At 41.3% G+C, this 19464-nt stretch overlaps 1 protein-coding gene across 14 annotated transcripts in view, besides 1 other annotated feature; it reads left to right on the top strand.

The window, feature by feature from the left end:
* The window catches only part of NOL10 (nucleolar protein 10), a 119222-nt gene that overhangs the window by 27241 nt on the left and 72517 nt on the right, over window positions 1-19464 (top strand). For 8 of the 14 annotated variants that reach the window (NR_048552.2, XR_007082254.1, XR_001738958.2 and 5 more), the window contains 4 exons: window positions 3485-3563; window positions 4844-4993; window positions 8188-8254; window positions 18363-18415. Coding sequence is in view for 10 of the 14 variants with exons in the window: in NM_001261392.2 (NP_001248321.1) it covers window positions 3485-3563; window positions 4844-4993; window positions 8188-8254; window positions 18363-18415 (349 nt within the window). In the remaining 4 variants the exon portion in view is untranslated. Of the gene's footprint in view, window positions 1-3484; window positions 3564-4843; window positions 4994-8187; window positions 8255-18362; window positions 18416-19464 lie in introns of those variants that run through there. The other 6 variants (XR_007082293.1, XM_047445902.1, XM_024453153.2 and 3 more) reach the window with 4 other exon arrangements.
* Window positions 7580-8779: an enhancer, noted in NCBI's record as "P300/CBP strongly-dependent group 1 enhancer chr2:10794082-10795281 (GRCh37/hg19 assembly coordinates)". NCBI's record gives its function as "activates an origin of replication core promoter dependent on BRD2, BRD4, P300/CBP, MED14 and CDK7 cofactors, with strong dependence on P300/CBP, by STARR-seq in HCT116 cells {active_cell/tissue: HCT116}" and the evidence as "EXISTENCE:reporter gene assay evidence [ECO:0000049][PMID:35650434]".

The raw sequence follows: 19464 nt of genomic DNA, 5'->3' as shown, positions 1-19464 counted from the left end.
TTTTATTAAAACAATTACACTACAGGAATTTGTATTCCAATTTTGTAGAATCTAGTGATAGAACCAGGAGTCCACCACAAAGTCCACAGAGGTGTGCTTTGAATTCTAAGGTGGAAGGAAGCAAGTGTTTTTTTAATATTTTCTTGTTCCTGTTTGCCTAATTTCTACATTTAAACCAATCAGAAGAGTTTTCACTATTATACATCCATTTACAGTTTTATGATTATTTCCTGAGAAATGATACCTAGAACCTGAATTTCTGGATTAAATAGCATACATGTTTTGAAGGTTTTTGGTACATTGCTAAATTGCCCTACAGAAAACATAACCTCAGGTTAAATGTCTCCCTGCATGCCCAGAGCATACATTGCTCACTCTCCTCAGCCTGGGACGTCCATCACAGCACTGCTAATAATAAGTCTTAGAAAGAGCCTGAGGATATTGATTAAATAAAGCTTAGTAGAAATAGTAGCTGACAGATAGTGCTTTCTATTTGCCAGGTACTGGGTCTAAGTTCTTTACATATATTAACTTATTTAATACGACAGCCCTTTGCTGTAGGCACTGTTATTGTATTTATTTTATAGATGAAAAAAATATTCGTCAATGGCATACATGTTACTCAGCCTTTAGGAATTATGTTGCAGAAGCATATTTATTACTAGGGAAAGGTGGTCCAAATGCGCCTGTCAGTGGAAAAGCGAGCCATACTGTTGACTATAGAGTGTTACCACATTGTTATCAGAAAAACAGTGAACACAAGCATAGTCATAGGAAGAAGGCTGGGTGTATTCCAGAATGTAAAAACTAGAGGGTTTTTTTTTTTCCGATTTGCTTTTAGGTAATTTTATTTTTTAATTTTTTTTTAATGCTTAGCTTTTTCGTTTTTGTTTTCCCTACAAACCTTAGAAGCTGTCACTTCTAGGTGGAGCCCATACAATATGAGAAAGCAGTAAGTGTAAGTGTTGGATAGGGGAAGCAGGCTGTCATTATTTGCAGATGATGTAAGTTTCTCTGCCTGAGAAACTCAGGAGAGTAACTGAAAATCTATAAGAACTAATATAGACCAGGCACGGTGGCTCACACCTGTAATCCCAGCACTTTGAAAGGCCGAAGCTGGAGGATCACTTGAGGTTAGGAGTTCAAGACCAGCCTGGCCAACATGGTGAAACCCTGTCTCTACTAAAAATACAAAATTAGCCGGGCATGGTGGTGCATGCCTGTAATCCCAAGTACCCAGGAGGCTGAGGCAGGAGAATCGCCTGAACCCGGGAGGCAGAGGTTGCAGTGAGCCGAGGTCACCCCACTGTACTCCAGCCTGGGTAACAGAGTGAGACTCCATCTCAAACATAAATAAATAGGCTGGGCATGGTGGCTCATGCCTGTAATCCCAGCACTTTGGGAGGCTGAGGCAGGTGGATTACCTGAGGTCGGGAGTTTGAGACCAGCCTGACCAACACAGAGAAACCCTGTCTCTACTAAAAATACAAAATTAGCTGGGCGTGGTGGCGCATGCCTGTAATCCCAAGTACTTGGGAGGCTGAGGCAGGAGAATCACTTGAACCCAGGAGGCGGAGGTTGCAGTGAGCCAAGATCATGCCATTGCACTCCAACCTGGGCAACAAGAGCAAAACTCCATCACAAACAAACAAATAAATAAAGTGTTACCACATCGTTATCAGAAAAGCAGTGAACACAAACATAGTCATAGGAAGAAGACTGGATGTATACCCGAGTGTTAAAACTAGGGTTTTTTTTCTGATTTGGTTTTAGGTAATTTTACTTTTTTTTTTTTTAATGCTTTGCTTTTTTTTTGTTTGTTTTCCCTACAAACCTTATAAGCTGTCACTTCTAGTGGAACCAATACGAGAAGGCAATAAGTGTAAGTGTTGAATAGGGGAAGCAGGCTGTCATTTCCAGATGACATAAGTTTCTGTGCCTGAGAAACTCAGGAGAATAACTGAAAATCTATAAGAACTAATATAACAGTTAAATAAATTGGTTATAAAATGTTCAAAAATCAGTGACCTTGTCAGCACTATCCAGTTAAAAAGGTTATAAATGGAAAAACATTCTAATAACAACAAAAATTGTAAAACTCGATAAGAACATATATGGGCCAGGTGTGGTGGCTCACACCTGTAATCCCAGCACTTTGGGAGGCCAAGGCAGGCAGATCACTTGAGATCAGGAGTTCAATACCAGCCTGGGCAACATGGTGAAAACCCATCTCTACAAAAAAATACAAAAATTAGCTGGGAGTGGTGGCACACATCTGTAGTCCCAGCTACTCGGGAGGCTGAAGCAGGAGAATTGCTTGAACCGGAAGGTGGAGGTTGCAGAGAGCTGAGATCATGCCACTGCACTCCAGCCTGGGCGACGGGAGTGAAACCCTGTCTCCAAAAAAAATATGTGAAGAAAATGACAAAGGAATAAGTAGAGAAGTATATCACTATACTGAAAGAAATGATTAAGTATACTTTGAAGAGTAAGTGACTAAAGTTGCTGTGCATATGAGGCTTCGAGGTTCCCACAGGTGCCCCAGCGCAGTTACAGGCTCAAGCTCTAGGTGGCAGAAGAGACCTGATGATGCCGACAGCCAACAGCCAGGACTCTAGGTCCTGGGCCAAGGGCATGTGGACGATAGGATTGATAGTGATATTGTCCACTTCTGACTCATCGCCTAGCACTCTTTCCACTGGAGATCATTGCTTTTGGTGCTGATTGTCTTGGTTGGTATGTGAGAAGCATATTCTAGAGTCGTGGCCATAGCATTCACTCTGTCTTTGGTACTTTCAGAGGCTCTAGGGTCCCCATTTGAGGATTAGTCTTTTATTTTAGCTGAACTTGGCTAATTTTAAAGTGGAAATGGTGTACCCATGTCCAAACAAAACTATGTCTTCTTAAGTATGAAAGGGGATGTTTCTATAAATACCTTATTCTGGCTTAATTAAAATGGAAGAAAGTAGATTACGTTTTGTATATAAAGTGTAACTTTGATTATGAAAGTTTGAATAAAATTACTATTTACTTACTATTTTTGAGACAGGGTCTTGCTCTGTTGTCCCAGCAGAGCTCCACTGCAGCGCAGTGGAATGATCACAGCTCACTGCAGCCTTGACCTCCCAGGCTCAAGCAGTCTCTTGCCTCAGCCACCCAAGTAGCTGGGACAACAGGTGTGTGCCACCACAACTGGCTATTTTTTTTTTTTTTAATTTTTTGTAGAGATGGTGTCTCACTGTGTTACCCAAGCTGGTCTTGAATTCTTGGCCTCAAGAAATCCTCCCACCTCAGCCTCCCAAAGTGCTGGTATTACAGGTGCGAGTCATCTTACCAGGCTGCAGTTACCTTTTAAACAGAAGCCTAGAAATGTGATTCCTCCCCCCCCCCCCCATTAGATTTGAAGTGAAGACTAATAATGAACTTGTTACTTGGAAGGAGGTTTGGCCGTATATTCATGAAGCATGAATATTTTGCTTTTCAGGATAAACAGTTTACCAACAATCTCTGCTTTGAAATTTAATGGTGCCTTGACCATGGCAGTTGGAACAACCACAGGGCAGGTAAATATGTTTAATTTGGAAACCACATGTAAGTTGGTATTTCAGTGGTGTGTGTATGTGTCATGAGAAATACACTGCAGGAACAGAAAATGAGATCATACTATTTTAGCCAGACCAGAGGGTATTCCAGAATGCTGGATTCTTCCACACCTTGAGAAATCTTGACTCTTGCCTTGGTCAGTCTGCAGTGCTGTGGACTTAGAGCTGCAGTGGGATAGGCCTGCACCACCACACCTGGCTAATTTTTTGACTTTTTGTAGAGACAGGGTCTCACTGTGTTGCCCAAGCTGGTCTTGAACTCCTGGGCTCAGGCGATCCCCCCACCCTTGGCCTCACAAAGTGTGGGGATTACAGGCGTGAGCCACCGGGCTTGGCCATAGGTATTCTCTTGTTAGTGGTTTGGAACAGCATTTTTCAGAGTCTATGCAACAGAATTCTGTGGTCAGACAGTCTTGGGAGTCTGCCAGACTTTTACTCTTGAAGATTGACAGTGGGTTTCAATACTGTTTTAATGAAGGCTCTCAGGAATTCTTGCAGACAAGAAATATGTTTAATAAATATTTCCAAAATTTGTGTGTTCAAGGAACTTTTTTTTTTTTAATATAGCATCATTAACTATAGCACATGCCATGAGTGGTCAGCAGAACATGCATTAGCAGTGCTAGTCTGAGGAGTACTTCTTTCTTTCCTTCAAGGCAGAGCCTGTACACTTGCCTCCTACAAGAGGTCTGAAACCCTGCCTTGGAGGATTTACTTTCTTTGTCATCATGGGCTAGAGGGCATCTGTCACCTGGGACTTAATCCTAGGGGAGCTTTCCCAGGCTTCCTTGCCTCTAGTGACGGGTCCGAAGAGATTCTCCCTTCTCCCAAGAAGTCATAGCCTTGCCACCACCATCTGTCTTGATCTACTAGGACTGTTCCTGATTATGTCTTTCATTTTTGTTTATATCTGTTGCTATGACACTGCCTGGTACATAGGCCCTCAGTATATATTTGTTGAACAAATTAAATTCTTATGGGCTTTCATTTTTTGTTCTTTCTTAGTATGTTCAGTAGCTCTTACAAATTAATCTTGGGGTTGAATTCATAAAATGTATACTCTAAGGATTATTTAAGAGATCTTTCTGGAAAGAATCTCAAATCTCAGCACCTTGAGTAAGGGTGTTCATTGTGTTCATAACAAAGCGATGAAGCAAATGGCTGCCATTATTCTCACTTAGAAATATTTCCTTTGAAGATAAAATGTCTAGTTTGTTTAAACAGAAATAATTTTTTTTCAGGTTTTATTATATGACCTTCGATCTGATAAGCCATTGCTAGTTAAAGATCACCAGTATGGGCTGCCCATTAAGTCCGTTCATTTCCAGGATTCATTAGATCTGATTTTGTCTGCTGACTCTCGAATTGTCAAGATGTGGAATAAGAACTCCGTATGTATTTTTGGTTGAAATTACTTGCTTCTTTATTTGCAGGTGTTCCGAATGATCCTTTCCTCTCCCTTTCCTTTTTTATGTGGGTTATTGGGAAAGAGATACTGAATATACATTTGGGAACTTAGCGGGAGGTCAGTTACTTTTGGATAGATAATATCCATATTTAGATAAGATACTCATGATTGCTTTCCTTCTGTTAAGTTTTCCCAATTATCTAGAATTGGCATGCATTTTAGATGTTAAGTTAGGTAGAGAGAAAATAGTGGTTTACAAAAGTTGATCTATGACCCGAGAAACCCCCTAGATATTGAGATTCCCTCACAGGTGTAGGAAAAGTCTTCAGAGCTACTAATTATCCTTCCATGCATGTTGGTATTATTACATATCTCAAATTCATACTTTTCCTATTTGATTTTTTTTTTTTGAGAGAGTTTGCTCTGTCGCCCAGGCTGGAGTGCAGTGCCATGATCTCAGCTCACTGTAACCTCCGCCTCCCAGTTTCAAGCAATTCTCGTGCCTTAGCCTCAGAGTAGCTGTGATTACAGGTGCATGTCACCATGCCCAGCTAATTTTTGTATTTTTAGTAGCGATGGGGTTTCATCATGTTGGCCAGTCTGGTCTTGAACTCCTGGCCTCAAATGATCCGCCTGCCTCGACCTCCTGAAGTGCTGGGATTACAGGCGTGAGCCACCTCACCTGGCCTTAAAAGCTATATTTCTTAAGAATATTTTGATGGTCCTTCTCCTCAGCTCTAAATGTCATTTGAAATGTAACAAAATCCTATATTGCTGGTTTTAATCTGTCTTCTGCTTTTCATTTTTCATTTTAAAACCTAAGTATTTTGAGAGAATAGTAAAGAGTTGATCAAATAAATGGGAAAAATGCATTCAGTATAGCTATGTTTTTAAGAGTTCTTTGCATTTAATTCATTAGAAACTTAGCATTTTTAGTTTAAAAACAGATCACTTTTAAAAAATTCCCATTTGTGATGAAGTCGGGTGGACGGCCCACCAGCCTGAGCAGTTCGTGCCTAAGCGCAAGTGCCCGTCTATTCCGTGGGGGCTGCCTGTGCCCAGGCACACACGCTGCAGACAGCCCCTCACAGTTCAGCTGCCTGTTGAGTCTCTGGCTTTCTGGGCTGTTACTTTGGTTTTTTAAATTTCATTTTGTTAATTCCTGAAGTATGGGTCTTACTTGGCTTCTTTTCCTTTTTTCTCTGGATCTGTCCTGGAGACCAGAGCTGTGTTCTACATCCCTGAGGCCCTCACCTAATTCATAGGTTCTGGTGACTTTGTTTATGTTACAGAGAAGAACATAAAGAAAAGACAGGCTTTCAGTCTTTCTAAATTCTTGGAAGAATTGCCCTGATGATTGCCCAGGAAGTGTCTATGCTGTCTGCTTTGTTGGCTTTGAGTTTGAAGGATTTTGAGGGCTTTTTTAAGGAAGATTCATGATCTTAGACCAGAACTTTCTCTGCTCTTTTTCTGGCAATTCAAACTAATTGATGTTAAAACAATATTTATTTTTAATACTACAAATGCATATGTTTTTATTCTTAAAAATTCATAAAACACTGGTAAAGTAGAAGTTATTTATCCTTGACCTGGCTTTCATCCAACCAAAGGGAAAGACTGTTAGCAATCTGGATGTATCTTTCCAGACCCTTTAACTTCTGCATAGTTTCCATCATGTGGATTATTATCACCTTTGACACCTTTTTGTCATTGTTGTTCCGTGCCATTATAATTCCTTTCCCTTTGCTTCCTGGTTTCCCCTCTTTTCCTTCCTCTTTCAGTGGGAACTTGAGAAGAACAGCAGGTAGCTGTGTGAATTTCACTGTTAGTCTTGGGTTAGGACTTGGCCGTGTTCTTCATCGGACACAAACCATCTTGTCTGTGCTCTAACACTGCTCTTTTTCGCCGTGGGCACTTAGTCCATCCTAGTGTCAGACTTTGCATAATGAGTTACAAATGCAAGAGCTGGCAGAAATTTTCAACATCACTTCTTGAAATCATCACACTGTAATTGCTACAGTAAATTTTATTTTGGCATTTTTTTTGTTTCTTATGACTAAAGACTTCCTCTTGACTAACACCCACGTTACTTGGTTTTGCCTGACTTGCTTACCTTGTTTATCTTTCTCATCACCTTTTTCCACACCCACCTTCTTAGCATCTTTTTCTTTTACTTTCCTTCTCTTAATTTTTAAAAGATAAAACACTTTTCCCCAACAGTTAAAATAGAAATGGTTTAGCCCTAACTACATAGTAACTAACACTTAAGTATTTGTAGGATTTCATTTTGTATTTCATATCCATTGTCTCACTTGATCCTCCTCGAAACCTTGCGGTGCAGGCATGGCAGTGTTGTCCTCATTTTCCATGCTGGCCATCTCTCTCCTCTGATTGGTTTGTTTTCTTTTCTTTTTTCCTTTCCTTTCCTTTCCTTTTTCTTTTCTTCCCTTCTTTCCCTTCTTTTCTTTCCTTTCTTCCTTCCTTCCTTTCTTTTCTTCCTTTCTTTCTTTTTTTTTTTGGGCAGAATCTCACTCTGTCGCCCCAGGCTGGAGTGCAGTGGTGCTATCTTGGCTGACTATAACCTCCGCCTCCTGGGTTCAAGCAGTTTTGCCTCAGCCTCCCTAGTAGCTGGGATTACAGTTGCAGGCCACGATGCCCGGCTAATTTTTGTGTTTTTAGTAGAGTCGGAGTTTCACCATGTTGGTCAGGCTGGTCTTAAACTCCTGACCTCAAGTCATCTCCACGCCTCAGCCTCCCAAAGTGCTGGTATTACAGGTGTGAGCCACTGCTCCCAGCTGTCTTCCGATTTCTTTCAATACAAGTTAAGCTGGGTACACTTCACAGATTATGAGAGATTTTTTTTTAAAGTTGATGCATAATTCAAACTTCATCTTTTCTTGCCATGTTGACATTATCTTTAAAATGTTGTAATTTTTCTTTTTTTTGGACAGGTCACTTCTTCTCCTTAGGCCTGTTTCTTCATCTATAAAATGGGATTTTTTGATAAATTGATAAGATAAATTCTCTAAGATTTTTAAGAATTTAAATTTTGTATTTGAAGTAGGCTATTTTATTTCTTTACATAGGAGTAGATGGTTGAGTTACAGCTTCAGTTTGACATTGCCAAAGTTGTTGTTCTTTAACTTTTAATACTTCGTTTTTGCTTGCTATTTTTAGGGAAAAATATTTACTTCCTTGGAGCCAGAGCATGACCTTAATGATGTTTGTCTCTACCCCAACTCAGGTATGCATTCTGTAGTGAACGTTCAGTGAGACAAATAAAAAGATGCATTCTGTAGTGAACGTTCAGTGAGACAAATAAAAAGGCTATACTTTTTTAGGTTTTAAACCCATTTTATTTCTTAAGATAGAATTTGGCTTTGTCAGCACAATTCTTGGATATTTAACTTACTTAGAAGAATTAAGAGCAGGAAGTGGTGTGGATGATTCAGAAAATGGCACTCTTAATGACTCAGTGCTCAGCCCGCCCAGCTATTAGTGGAACGTGGTAACAGCATACAGGTAGGAGGCAGGTGAAGTGCTATTTTAGTGTGCTCTTTAGCTCTTTTATGTGATTAGTAATAGTGTGTGGAAATTGAGGGTAGAGATTTGGAGAAAGCTAGATTGCCTGATAATACACAGATGGCTCATGAAGCCATAGGTTTTGTAAATTCTAAGTTGTATGCTATTCAGCAATTTACATGTTAGGTTTCAAAATTTAACAGTGCATTCAAGGCAAATCTGTGAAGAATTTCAGAGTATGGGAGAAAAATGAGAATAGTTTCTACTCTGAGGGCAGAGGTACCCAGATCATCTTGATAGAGAGAAGTAAGGCAGAGCGTGAGAACTCCTATCACATTTGTGCAAAGAGTACTTTGACAGCTTGCTGGAGAGAGAGAGCTTTTACCCTGTGACCACCGAGAGCGGAGCAGTGAGAAGATTTTGCTTTGCGTTGAGCTGGAGTGCCGAGTGAGATTTGGTTAGGTGGAGTTGGGGGGCTGAGGTGATTCTCATGGGAGAGCAGTCCAAGATGACCAAAAAGGATGGGCACAGAGGGCTCGGTTGGGGTGGGGAGGAGTGTCCTGTGCCTGAGCTGTGGTGGCTCTGGGAAGGCTGAAGTGGGAGGCAGAGAGTGGTGGGTGGTAGAGGGTTGGGCATGATGTGCTAAATGTCTTGGGCTCCGTGTGCTGTCAGAGAGGACTTGTTCCGACTGTGCTTTCAGAGGCAGGTCTACCCACTGTGCAAAGGGTAGATTGGTTTTGGACAAAAGTGCCTTGGAAGTAACTGATATTCTGAGCTGAGATGGGGAGCACAGGTGAGAGAGCAAGTTTGGAAAGATTATGGCTTCTTTTTCTAACGTGTGAGGATTAGGAGGTGACAGGACAGTGGCAGTATCTGGCACTATCTGGCTTCCCATCAAAATCATCTGCACAGCTTTAAAGGTACAGCTCCCTTGACCTTATACTAGGTGTACTCACTCATAGTGTCTATGGAAAGGGCTTAGAAATGTGTGGTTTTTTTTTTTTTTTTGAGTTGGAGTCTCGCTCTGTCACCCAGGCTGGAGCGCAGTGGCACAATCTCTGCTCATTGCAACCTCTTCTCCTGGGTTCAAGCGATTCTCATGCCTCAGCCTCCTGAGTAGATGGGACTACAGGCACGCACCACCACGCCTGGCTGATTTTTGTATTTTTAGTAGAAACGGGGTTCCGCCATGTTGGCCAGGCTGGTCTTAAACTCCTGACCTCAAGTGATCCGCCTGCCTCCACTTCCCAAAATGCTGAGATTACAGATGTGAGCCGCCGCGCCTGGCCAGAAACGTGTGTTTTTAACACACTTCCCGGTGGATTCTTAGGCGGCAAGCCCTGAACCGATCCGCAGACTTGTGCTTGGGGGGCGTGTCTGGCGTCCAGTAGAAAATGTGGTCTTGGGGTAAGCAGGTCTGTAGATAGAAAGTTTTGCGATTATCCCAGAAGTGGTGGGAATGAATGAGATTACTGATAGGGAAAGCTGGGAGTGAGATAAGAAGTGAGCAGGAGCTGGTTCATTTGGGAGAATGAGGGGGAGGAGCCAGCTGAGAAACCGGATGGGAATGGACAGAACGACAGTGCCAGGCCCCACGGTTTTTGAAGTATGGAAGAGATTCAGTGGGCACTGCTTAGCAACTACTAAGGATTACAGAAGTTGGGGCAGGAAGGAAAGAACTAAGATTGATTGCATGCTGCTGTTATCAATCTGGATGATGGATGCTGTAATACAAACTTATTTAATATTTTATAACTGTGTAGTCAGTGGTCCATGGCTTTTTTTTTTCTTTTTTCTTTCTTTCTGTTTTTTTCTTACCTCTTAAGGGGTCAGAAAAATTGGGTAATTCATTCAGGGTTGGTCACCCAGCTGGTGTGTGGCAGAGCCTCATTTAGAACCCAGCCTTCCTGTTTCTGGTGCCCATGCTGTTTTTTCTTTTTTCTTTTTTTTCTTTTTTTTTTTTGAGACAGAGTCTCCCTCTGTCCCCCAGGCTGGAGTGCAGTGGCGCAATCTCAGCTCACTTCAACCTCCCCCTCCCGGATTCAAGCGATTCTCCTGCCTCAGCCTCCTGAGTAGCTGGGATTACAGGTGCCCGCCACCACGCCCGGCTAATATTTGTATTTTTAGTAGAGACAGGGTTTCACCATGTTGGTCAGGCTGGTCTCGAACTCCTGACCTCGTGATCTGCCCGCCTCAGCCTCCCTAAGTGCTGGGATTACAGGCGTGAGCCACTGCGCCCAGCTGCCCATGCTGTTTCTAATTGCACACTGCTCTCCCAAGAAAGATGAGAAACCCTGGACTTTATAATTTGCATTTCATCTGTAATAGTTGAGAGAATTTTATTATAATCATGGGAGTAAAGTGAAATTCTGGTGAGTTCAGGAATAGATTGCAGCTGAGGATGCTGGGTCCTAGTTAGGGTATTGAAATGACCTACACCAGGGTCTCGGTTAAGTAGGTAAGTGAGTAAATCAGGTGGAGCTGAGGTTGGGGCAAGGGTGACGAGCAGGGATAGTGCGACTGGGGGAGTGACAGTTTGAAGGGCACAGAGAGTTGGGAGAGAAAGAGTCTTACCTTGGGCTGTACAGTTTGGTAGCCACTAGCCACTCGTGGGCATTGACATGTACTGTGAGTATAAAATATACATTGGATTTAAAAGACATTCTACGAAAAAAGGATGTAAAATAGATCATTAATAATTTTCTATTAATTACATGTTGAAATGAAAATATTTTAGACCTGTTGGATTAGTAAAATATATTAAAATTAATTTTACCATTTTTAAAAATGTGGCTACTAAAAATTTTAAAATCACATATGTGGTTCACATGCTCTTTCCATTGGACAGTGCTGGTCTAAACTGGGAGAGCTTCAACCCTTGAGGATGCTGGTAAGGTTTAGTAGTGCTTGTGCCTGGCCCAGTGTAGCGGGGATTGTTGAGCCTGGTAGGCTGCCTCAGTTTTTCCATTGTAACCAAGGATATAGAAGCCCAAAGAGACACCTGCTGAAATGAGTGCCAATCTGTTGGCCCCCGCAGGCTGTGTGCCTAAACAGCTTCTCCAGGAGGCAGGGCTGGAGGGTGGACTCTTGTGGGCAACTTGATTTCTCAGGTCAGTTTTTGTGCATCTCTTCCCCCACCTTTAATGGCTGTAAAGATCTCTTAACCCACAAAGGGTGTGACTACTTGGCAAAGAAGCCTCTTTCTGAGAAATACTCAGGCTCAGACTGTTGAGGAACCCATTCTTGAAATGCCACCACTGACGACAGTGGTTGGAATCACAAGGACAAGGAGAGGAGGGAGGCTGATGTTAGCAGTGCATGTTGTTACCCAGGTGACTGCTGAGGAAGAGACTTAAAATGGATTGAGAGGGTGCTGATAATTCAACTACGCATCTCTGGAATGCTGATTTTATTTTTTCGCCTGGTCTGTATTTATTTATTTTTTCAGAGACAGGGTTTCACATTGTCACCTAAGCTAGAGTGTAGTGGCACAATTATAGCTCACTGCAGCCTTGAACCCCTGGGCTCGAGCGATCCTGCCTAGGCCTCCTGAGTAGCTGAGGCTACAGATACGCACCATCACGCCGGCTCTCCCCTGGCCTCACGATAAAAATTTAAATGATTTGTCATTTAAAATGGCATAAAAATTGTAAAAATAAGCATGCTTTTAAATGAAATTTAAAAGTGTTTCTCTCTGGGAAAAACGCCCAAAACACTTATTTAATGAAGATTGTTGTGGCCTAGTGCAGTGGCTCACGCCTGTAATCCCATCATGCCTATAATCCTGAGGCAGGAGGATCACTTGAGGCCAGGAGTTCAAGACCAGCCTTGTCAACACAGCAAGACTCTGTCTCTACTAAAAATAAAAAAAATTAGCAGGAAGCAGTGGCACTGTGCGCCTGTAGTCCCAGATACTCTAAGGGCTGAAGCAGGAGGATCGCTTGAGCCCAGGAGTTTGAGTTTATAGTGAGCTGTGATCTTGAAACTAACTGTACTCTTGCCTGGGTGACAAAGCAAGACCTAAAAAAAAAAATTATCTTGCTAACATTTTAATTGTAGAAGCATTTATAGCACAGTGATTTTAATAGTTACTTATTAAAGTAATATTTATGAAGAAATGTTTGACAATTTGGTCAGAAAACATTCTTAATGAGTAGCATTTTAAAAAGTCTATTTGGCAAACTGACCTATAGGCCAAATCCAGTCCACCACTTGGTAATTTGCAGCCTTTGAGTTAAGAATGGGTTTTACATTTTTAAATGGTTGGAAAAAAAAATCTAAGAAGAGTAATATTTTATGACATGGAAATTCAAATTTTTGTGACTGAAATTCAGATTTCAGTGTCTTTCAGCATAAAGTTTTATGTGAACACAGCCACCCTTGTTCGTTTATACATTGTCCATGTGGCTTTTGCAGCACTGTGGCAGAGGTGAGTAGTTTTAACAGTGACCAGGGGGGCTGCAGAGCCTGAAGTGTGTACTGCCTGGCCCTTTACAGAGACAGTTTGCTGACCCCTGGTCCATATTACTAATATAAACAAAAATGGTCACTTTATCCACAGTATTTAATTATGAAGAATTTCAGGCCAGGCGCAGTGTCTCATGCCTGTAGTCCTAGTACTTTGGGAGGCCGAGGCATGCAGATCACTTGAGGTCAGGAGTTCGAGACTAGCCTGGCCAACATGGTGAAACCCTGTCTCTACCAAAAATACAAACTTAGCTGAGCGTGGTGGCAGGTGCCTGTAATCCCAGCTACTCAGGAGGCTGAGGCGGGAGAATTGCTTGAAACCAGGAGGCGGAGGTTGCAGTGAGCCGAGATCATGCCACTGCTCTCCAGCCTGGGCGACAGAGCAAGACTCTGTCTCAAAAAAAAAAAAAAAAAAAAAAAAAAATTCAAACATACAGAAAAGTTGAAAAACTGGTAGAATGAACATCTTTATATTCTCTCCTCAATGTTTGTTATTGTTGTCTTCACCATAATTGATTTATTTATCTCTGTGCTTCTGTGGTTGTTGTGGTTTCTTTGTGGAATCACTCGAAAGCCAGCTGCAGACATGGTGGCACTCACCTGCACCCAGGGTGGCATTGATCTCCTGAAAATCATTGAAATTATTAGGTCCCTTATTGTGCCTAATAAAAATGGCAGCCCTTTTCTAATATTATCTTACATCCAGTCCATTTTCAGGTTTTCCTAATTGTTCCCCATATGCCCTTTTTTAGTTAGGTGTGGTTTTTTTGTTTGTTTTTTGTGTTTTTTTGAACCAGGATATAACTGAGGTTGTGTGTTACATTTCGCTGTTGTGTATCTTTAGTTTCTTTCAATCCAGTATAGTCCCCCACATCTTTTTCTTTTCTTCTCCATGACGTTGACTTTTCAAAGATCAGGCCAGTGGTCTCAGAATATCCTTCATCCTCGATTTATGTGATTTTTTTTTCTCGTGATGTTGTTTAACTTGATCCTCTACCGTGTATTTTTTCTAAAATAGAAGTTAAGTCTAAAGACTTAATTAAGTTTAGATTAAATTTGGGGCAAGAGTAATGTGCAGGCTGCTGAGGTCTCCAGGTCGTTGCAGTATTGGAGAGGGGTAAGGTTGATCCCATTGTTAAGTGATGTCGTCATTACAAAGTACAGTTTCTTGCAAACCAGCAACTTTAAGCATGATGTTTTGGACAAAGGAATGACTGTTACTATCTAATAACTCGTAAGAGGTTAATCAAGAGTAGAAAAGCTAGCCAAATAATTTATTTCATAAGAGAGCAGGCAGAACAAGACCCGTAGGCGCCCCTTCTTTGTGGCTTGGATCTGAGTGTGGCGGATGATTGCACTCCGCTTTTCCTTGCTTTCCCACACCTTTTCCTCCCGTTCAACTCTTTGTGTCTGGTGCTTAATCATTGTGGGCTTAATCATAGTTTAGAAAAGCTGAAACTGTCTTTCTTTTTTCTTTTCACTTACTCATTTTGGAGTAATTGAAGCATAATCATGATTATGGTTTTGTAATATTTTTCTTATACCAAGGCTGCTCAGTATATTGGGAAATGGTTCTGCCTTCCTGCCTTGTTCAGGGCCCTGCTCCTATGGCTCATCAGCCACCTGTACAGTGAGCAGCTGCTCCATGCCGGTCAGGGCACTTGAAGAGACAGCACGGCTCTATGACTTGGGTGTGCATCAGATTCATGACACGGGGAGCTTGTAAAGCTTACGTGTGTCTTGAGTCCCACTCCAGACCTGTGGAATCAGCATCGGTGGTTTCAGAACCATGGTAGAGAGAAAAGAACAGGGGCACTGGGCTCAAGAAAGATCCAATTCAGGCTTAATAGTGGTAGAAATTACCCAACCTCGGAATTCTCACCTGCCTTACAGGGCTGTTGAAGACTACCTGTACTGATAAGTGTGAAATAGCCTTTTATTCCGTCAGTGCCTTCTAAATACATGGAAAACTGTTAGAGCCATCTATAAATATCTTTGGTGCCTTGTATAGTAAACTCAAATGCCCCATACTTTCATCTGAGGTTCTAAATAGGGCAGGAGCGCCCCTGCCAGTCCCCTTTGGCACAGTTCTGCGTGCACAGCCTGTCTCCTCTGAGCTGTTCAAGGTGGTGACTGATGCCATATGTTTTTGCGCAGCACTTCCCAACACGTGTGGTGAAGGACCAGGATTTTGGTTTTTTGTTTTGTTTCGAATTTTCTAATCCACTGCACGTTGATACGTCTGTAAAAGACAATACAAATGAATTACTAGGAAAATGATCACACATTTGGTTGTCACTGCAGTGTTGAATTGCAGGTTTCTAAATGCTTCTTTTCAATTTCTGCACTTATTTCCTGGCCTGGTAACAGTTTGCAGTCTGTCACTGGGGACACACTTTGAGCAGCTGTAGAGCACTGTGTTTGTGTTGTGAACTTCAGTGAGTCCTTTAGTCCCCAGAGCACATGCAGATGAGTACTGATTTGTGCATGTTTCTGGGGAGGGCACTATTTTGTCAAATTCTCTTTTATTGTATTATTACAGCGTACTATACACTATAGTGTACTGGGTCATATTGGAAATGTGTTCTTTTGACTCCAGGTGCTGATATCTTTTCCTTCCTTTAAAAATGTATAGTTTTATTGTGGATAAACTACATTAAAATAAATTTAAAGGAAAAAAGTCCTCAATGCCATAATCTCTTTACACGTACTGTCACGTACTATTACTGTCTTCATGGGTGAAACCATATTAATTCTGTGTTCATATGTTTTAAGTTGTCCTCACACTGTACTTACGGTTATCTTTTGCTTTTCAGTTTGATGTTATATTAAACACATCTTTCACGTTGCCATGTGGTATTCATACTGACTTTTTTAAAATGGTTTCTTACTTGATCATGCAGGAGGTCTTTTAATTTTACCTTAGTTGATGAAGTGTCAGAGTCCCATGTTATGAGCCTTGGAATTGGTAGACTGTCAGTGGCTCTACTTACTAGCTATGTGGTGGCCCTGAGCAAGGGAGGTAACTTGCTGAGAATGTGACTTGCCTGGCGCGATGCTCATGCTCTTCTCTTCTCCTGCCTTGATCATCTTAATTTCTGCTGAACTAAGGCTTTCTTTCACAGGTTTATTTTTCTGTTTCTGCCTGTTAGAAGCTGCTCATACTCTTTGGGCTCTATGATGTTCTTTTTCTCATTCATAATTGCTTTCAGCCCTGACCCTCCTCACTTGAGTTTGGTAGTAGACCTGCTTGTATCATTAGCCGTATGTGGTTGTGTGAGATCCTCCTCCATTTTTAGAAAACAGTCTAGCTGTGTCCAGTCTGAATTTTTTTGTGTAATTACATTAGAGCCCTTTCCGTGGTTTGTTTGGTAGGTGGTGTTGTATTTCATTGTGGAATGTTCATTGTTGAGTGTTCAGGGTTGAGCCAGTGGAGAAGGCTTAGGAGAGGTCTTTATTAGGAACCTTCCTTTTGGTTGTGAAGATGTGGCTTCTGTCTCCAGAACTGCTTTAATTATGTCCAAAGGCTCCTGGAGATCTTTCAGCAGTGTTGTTAGTGGAGACCTAGGAAGCACAATCAGCAGAGGCAGTTTCTGTCCATCATGACCTCGGTGAACGTTGTTTGGAAGGCCAGAAAAAGTGCTAAGATGAAAGATTCTACAAGAGTTACAAGCTATGAAAAACAGCTCTGACTTTGTTTTGGTTTAATTTAGACATTATTCTTGCTTTTTTAGACTTCATTAGGTGCTTTTAGATGTTTTTACGGGGTGTGTGTGTGTGTGTGTGTGTGTATGTGTGTGTGTGTGTTTTGTGTGCATATATTTTTGGTGACCTGTTGGTCCCAGTTCAGGGCTAGCTCACACTTCTGAGTTATTGGCAAGACGTGGTTTTGGTAAGATAGTATCGAGGCCAGATGCGGTGGCTCATGCCTGTAATCCCAGCATGTTGGGAGGCCGAGGCGGGCGGATCATGAGGTCAGGAGATTGAGACTGTCCTGGCTAACATGGTGAAACCCCCCTCCACTAAAAATACAAAAAATTAGCCAGGCGTGGTGGGCGCCTGTAGTCCCAGCTACTCGGGAGGCTGAGGCAGGAGAATGACGTGAACCCAGGAGGTGGAGCTTGCAGTGAGCCGAGACCACGCCACTGCACTCCAGCCTGGGCAACAGAGCAAGACTCTTGTCTCAAAAAAAAAAAAAAAAAAGATAGTATTGAGTTCCTGCTTGAGTGGTAATTGACTCTATTCACTCAGCATCTCATTTCTGTAATAGAGTCAAATATCATCACTTTTACAAACTTTTGTGTTAATAAAAGGAAAGGCAGCAAAAAATATTTTTAAAAACAGAATCTAATCATTGCCCTTAACATTTGGTATATTCATTTATCATTATGTGATCTGATAATCTAAATGTCTTCTCTCTGTGGATTCCTCTTGTATCTTACAAATAGATTTTTAAAATGAATTCTTATTTAGCTGATCTGTAGAAGTCTTTATTTAAAAGCAGGCGCTCTTGAGTTTGACTTTAGCTTTAACATTCTCTCACGACTGGGGCATCAGTCCCTCTGAGCTTTATTTTCTGATCAGTAAAATAGGGCTGATGATACATCTTCTTTGAGAGGGTTGTTGTATGTTCACTAAGATAGTATATGTGAAAGTGCCTAGATGATTATGAAGGACTGGTCAAAGGCTTGCTGGTTTCAGTTTTATTTAAAGTGCAGTGGTCCAGAGCAGGGGATCTGAGGAGTTTTGATGTTTGCATATTGCCATGTTGGAGCTGCTTCAGAACACTTGTGGGGAAGGAGTATGTTGCAAAAATGGCAGAGAAAAGGGAACAAAACCGAGATATTTGAATACTTTGATACTAAGTAGTTTAGTACCAAATAATAATGTACTTATAGGTTGCTCCTGGGGTTATAGAGAATCCTTTATTGAATGCCGGAAAGTTATCTCTTTCTTCAGTTTTGCTTTCTTATATGCTGATCCCAAGGAGACTCAATTATTAACCACCCTGTTGGTTCAGTCTGTTATAATTCCCTGTGAGGGAGTGACTGTGCTGTAGTCAGGGCTGTTAGAGTCCCTCTAGGACTTTCTGGTGTAGATGATAACAAAATGTAGACATTTTGTTTTGCAGTCAGTTTTGTAAAAGTTAGGAATTTGCTTTGCAAAAGCAAAGCAAATTTGTTCTGGAAAATTCGAATTTGTTTTGTAAAAGTTAGGAATTTGCTGTGACATTTTGTGGGAAATACTATACTTTGGTTCACTGACTAACAGAAGTTCCTCAGGCATTTCAGAATGGAAAGCAAATAGAAAAGGGTACTTTCTTTTTCCTATGCATTGACCTTTTTCATTGTATTTATTTTTAGGCATGCTTCTGACGGCCAATGAAACCCCCAAGATGGGCATCTATTACATTCCAGTAAGTAATACAAAGAGGAGTTTCAGTAAAAATAGGACAAGCAAAGATACTTTTTATTATTTATTTAATTTTTTGAGACGGAGTCTGGCGATCACCGATGCTGGGGTGCAGTGGTGCAGCCTCAGCCCACTGCAACCTCTGCCTCCTGGGTTCAAGTGATTCTCCTACCTCAACCTCCTGTAGCTGGGATTACAGGTGTACGCTACCACACCTGGCTAATTTTTGTATTTTTGGTAGAGACGGGGTTTTGCCATGTTGGCTGGGGTGGTCTTGAACTCATGACCTCAAGTGATCCTCCTGCCTGGGCCTCCCAAAGTGCTGGGATTACAGGTGTGAGCCACCACTCCCGGCCAAAGATACTTTTTAAATTGGATGTATTGAGGAACCTGGGTCTACATGTGGCTGTGTACATTAGACACAGTGGACTCACTTTTGGGTTGAATTTGCTTTCTGGAGCCAGTCAATTCATGCTCAAACATTCTTTTATGGGAACTGTTTAATATCATGTTAAAACAGACATTATAAATTAGTATTTATTCTTCTGATTTACATTTATTTTTTGTTTCCAAGTATTTCAGAATCTTAAACTTTCAGCTGTTAGTGATCCGGAGGTCTAATTCTGAAAAGTCTATTACTCTTCAAGTCATCTCACTATAGTTTGTTTCTTTTAAAAATAAGTTACATATATAAATTATCATAGATCATCCTGATCAGGGATGACATGTAGTTTGCCAAAAAAACCTTTTTTTCCCTCCTTAAATAATTCTTCTCTTAAATAGCCAGAAGCTCCCACCCTTCCCTTTAAGTTTATAGTAAAAAATGAAGCAAGGAAATACGATTTCATAAGCAGAAAAACACATAGTATAAAGTTGGCATTAGATTACTTTATACTCAGCAGACATCTCCCTTACCTGAGATTTGAGAAGAGAGTAGAGTGAGGGGTACTGAAGATCAGAATCTGAGGGAGGTGAACTCTCTGTAACCACTATCATCTTGCAGGTATGAAAATTATTCCTGTCTATGATAGTCCTTTTAAAATTGCTCAGTTA

Source organism: Homo sapiens, chromosome 2 (genome assembly GCF_000001405.40).
Source record: "Homo sapiens chromosome 2, GRCh38.p14 Primary Assembly".
Lineage (NCBI taxonomy): Eukaryota > Metazoa > Chordata > Mammalia > Primates > Hominidae > Homo > Homo sapiens.
The sequence above is the reverse complement of the archived record's forward strand: the minus strand, read 5'-3'. Positions and strand labels throughout refer to the sequence as shown.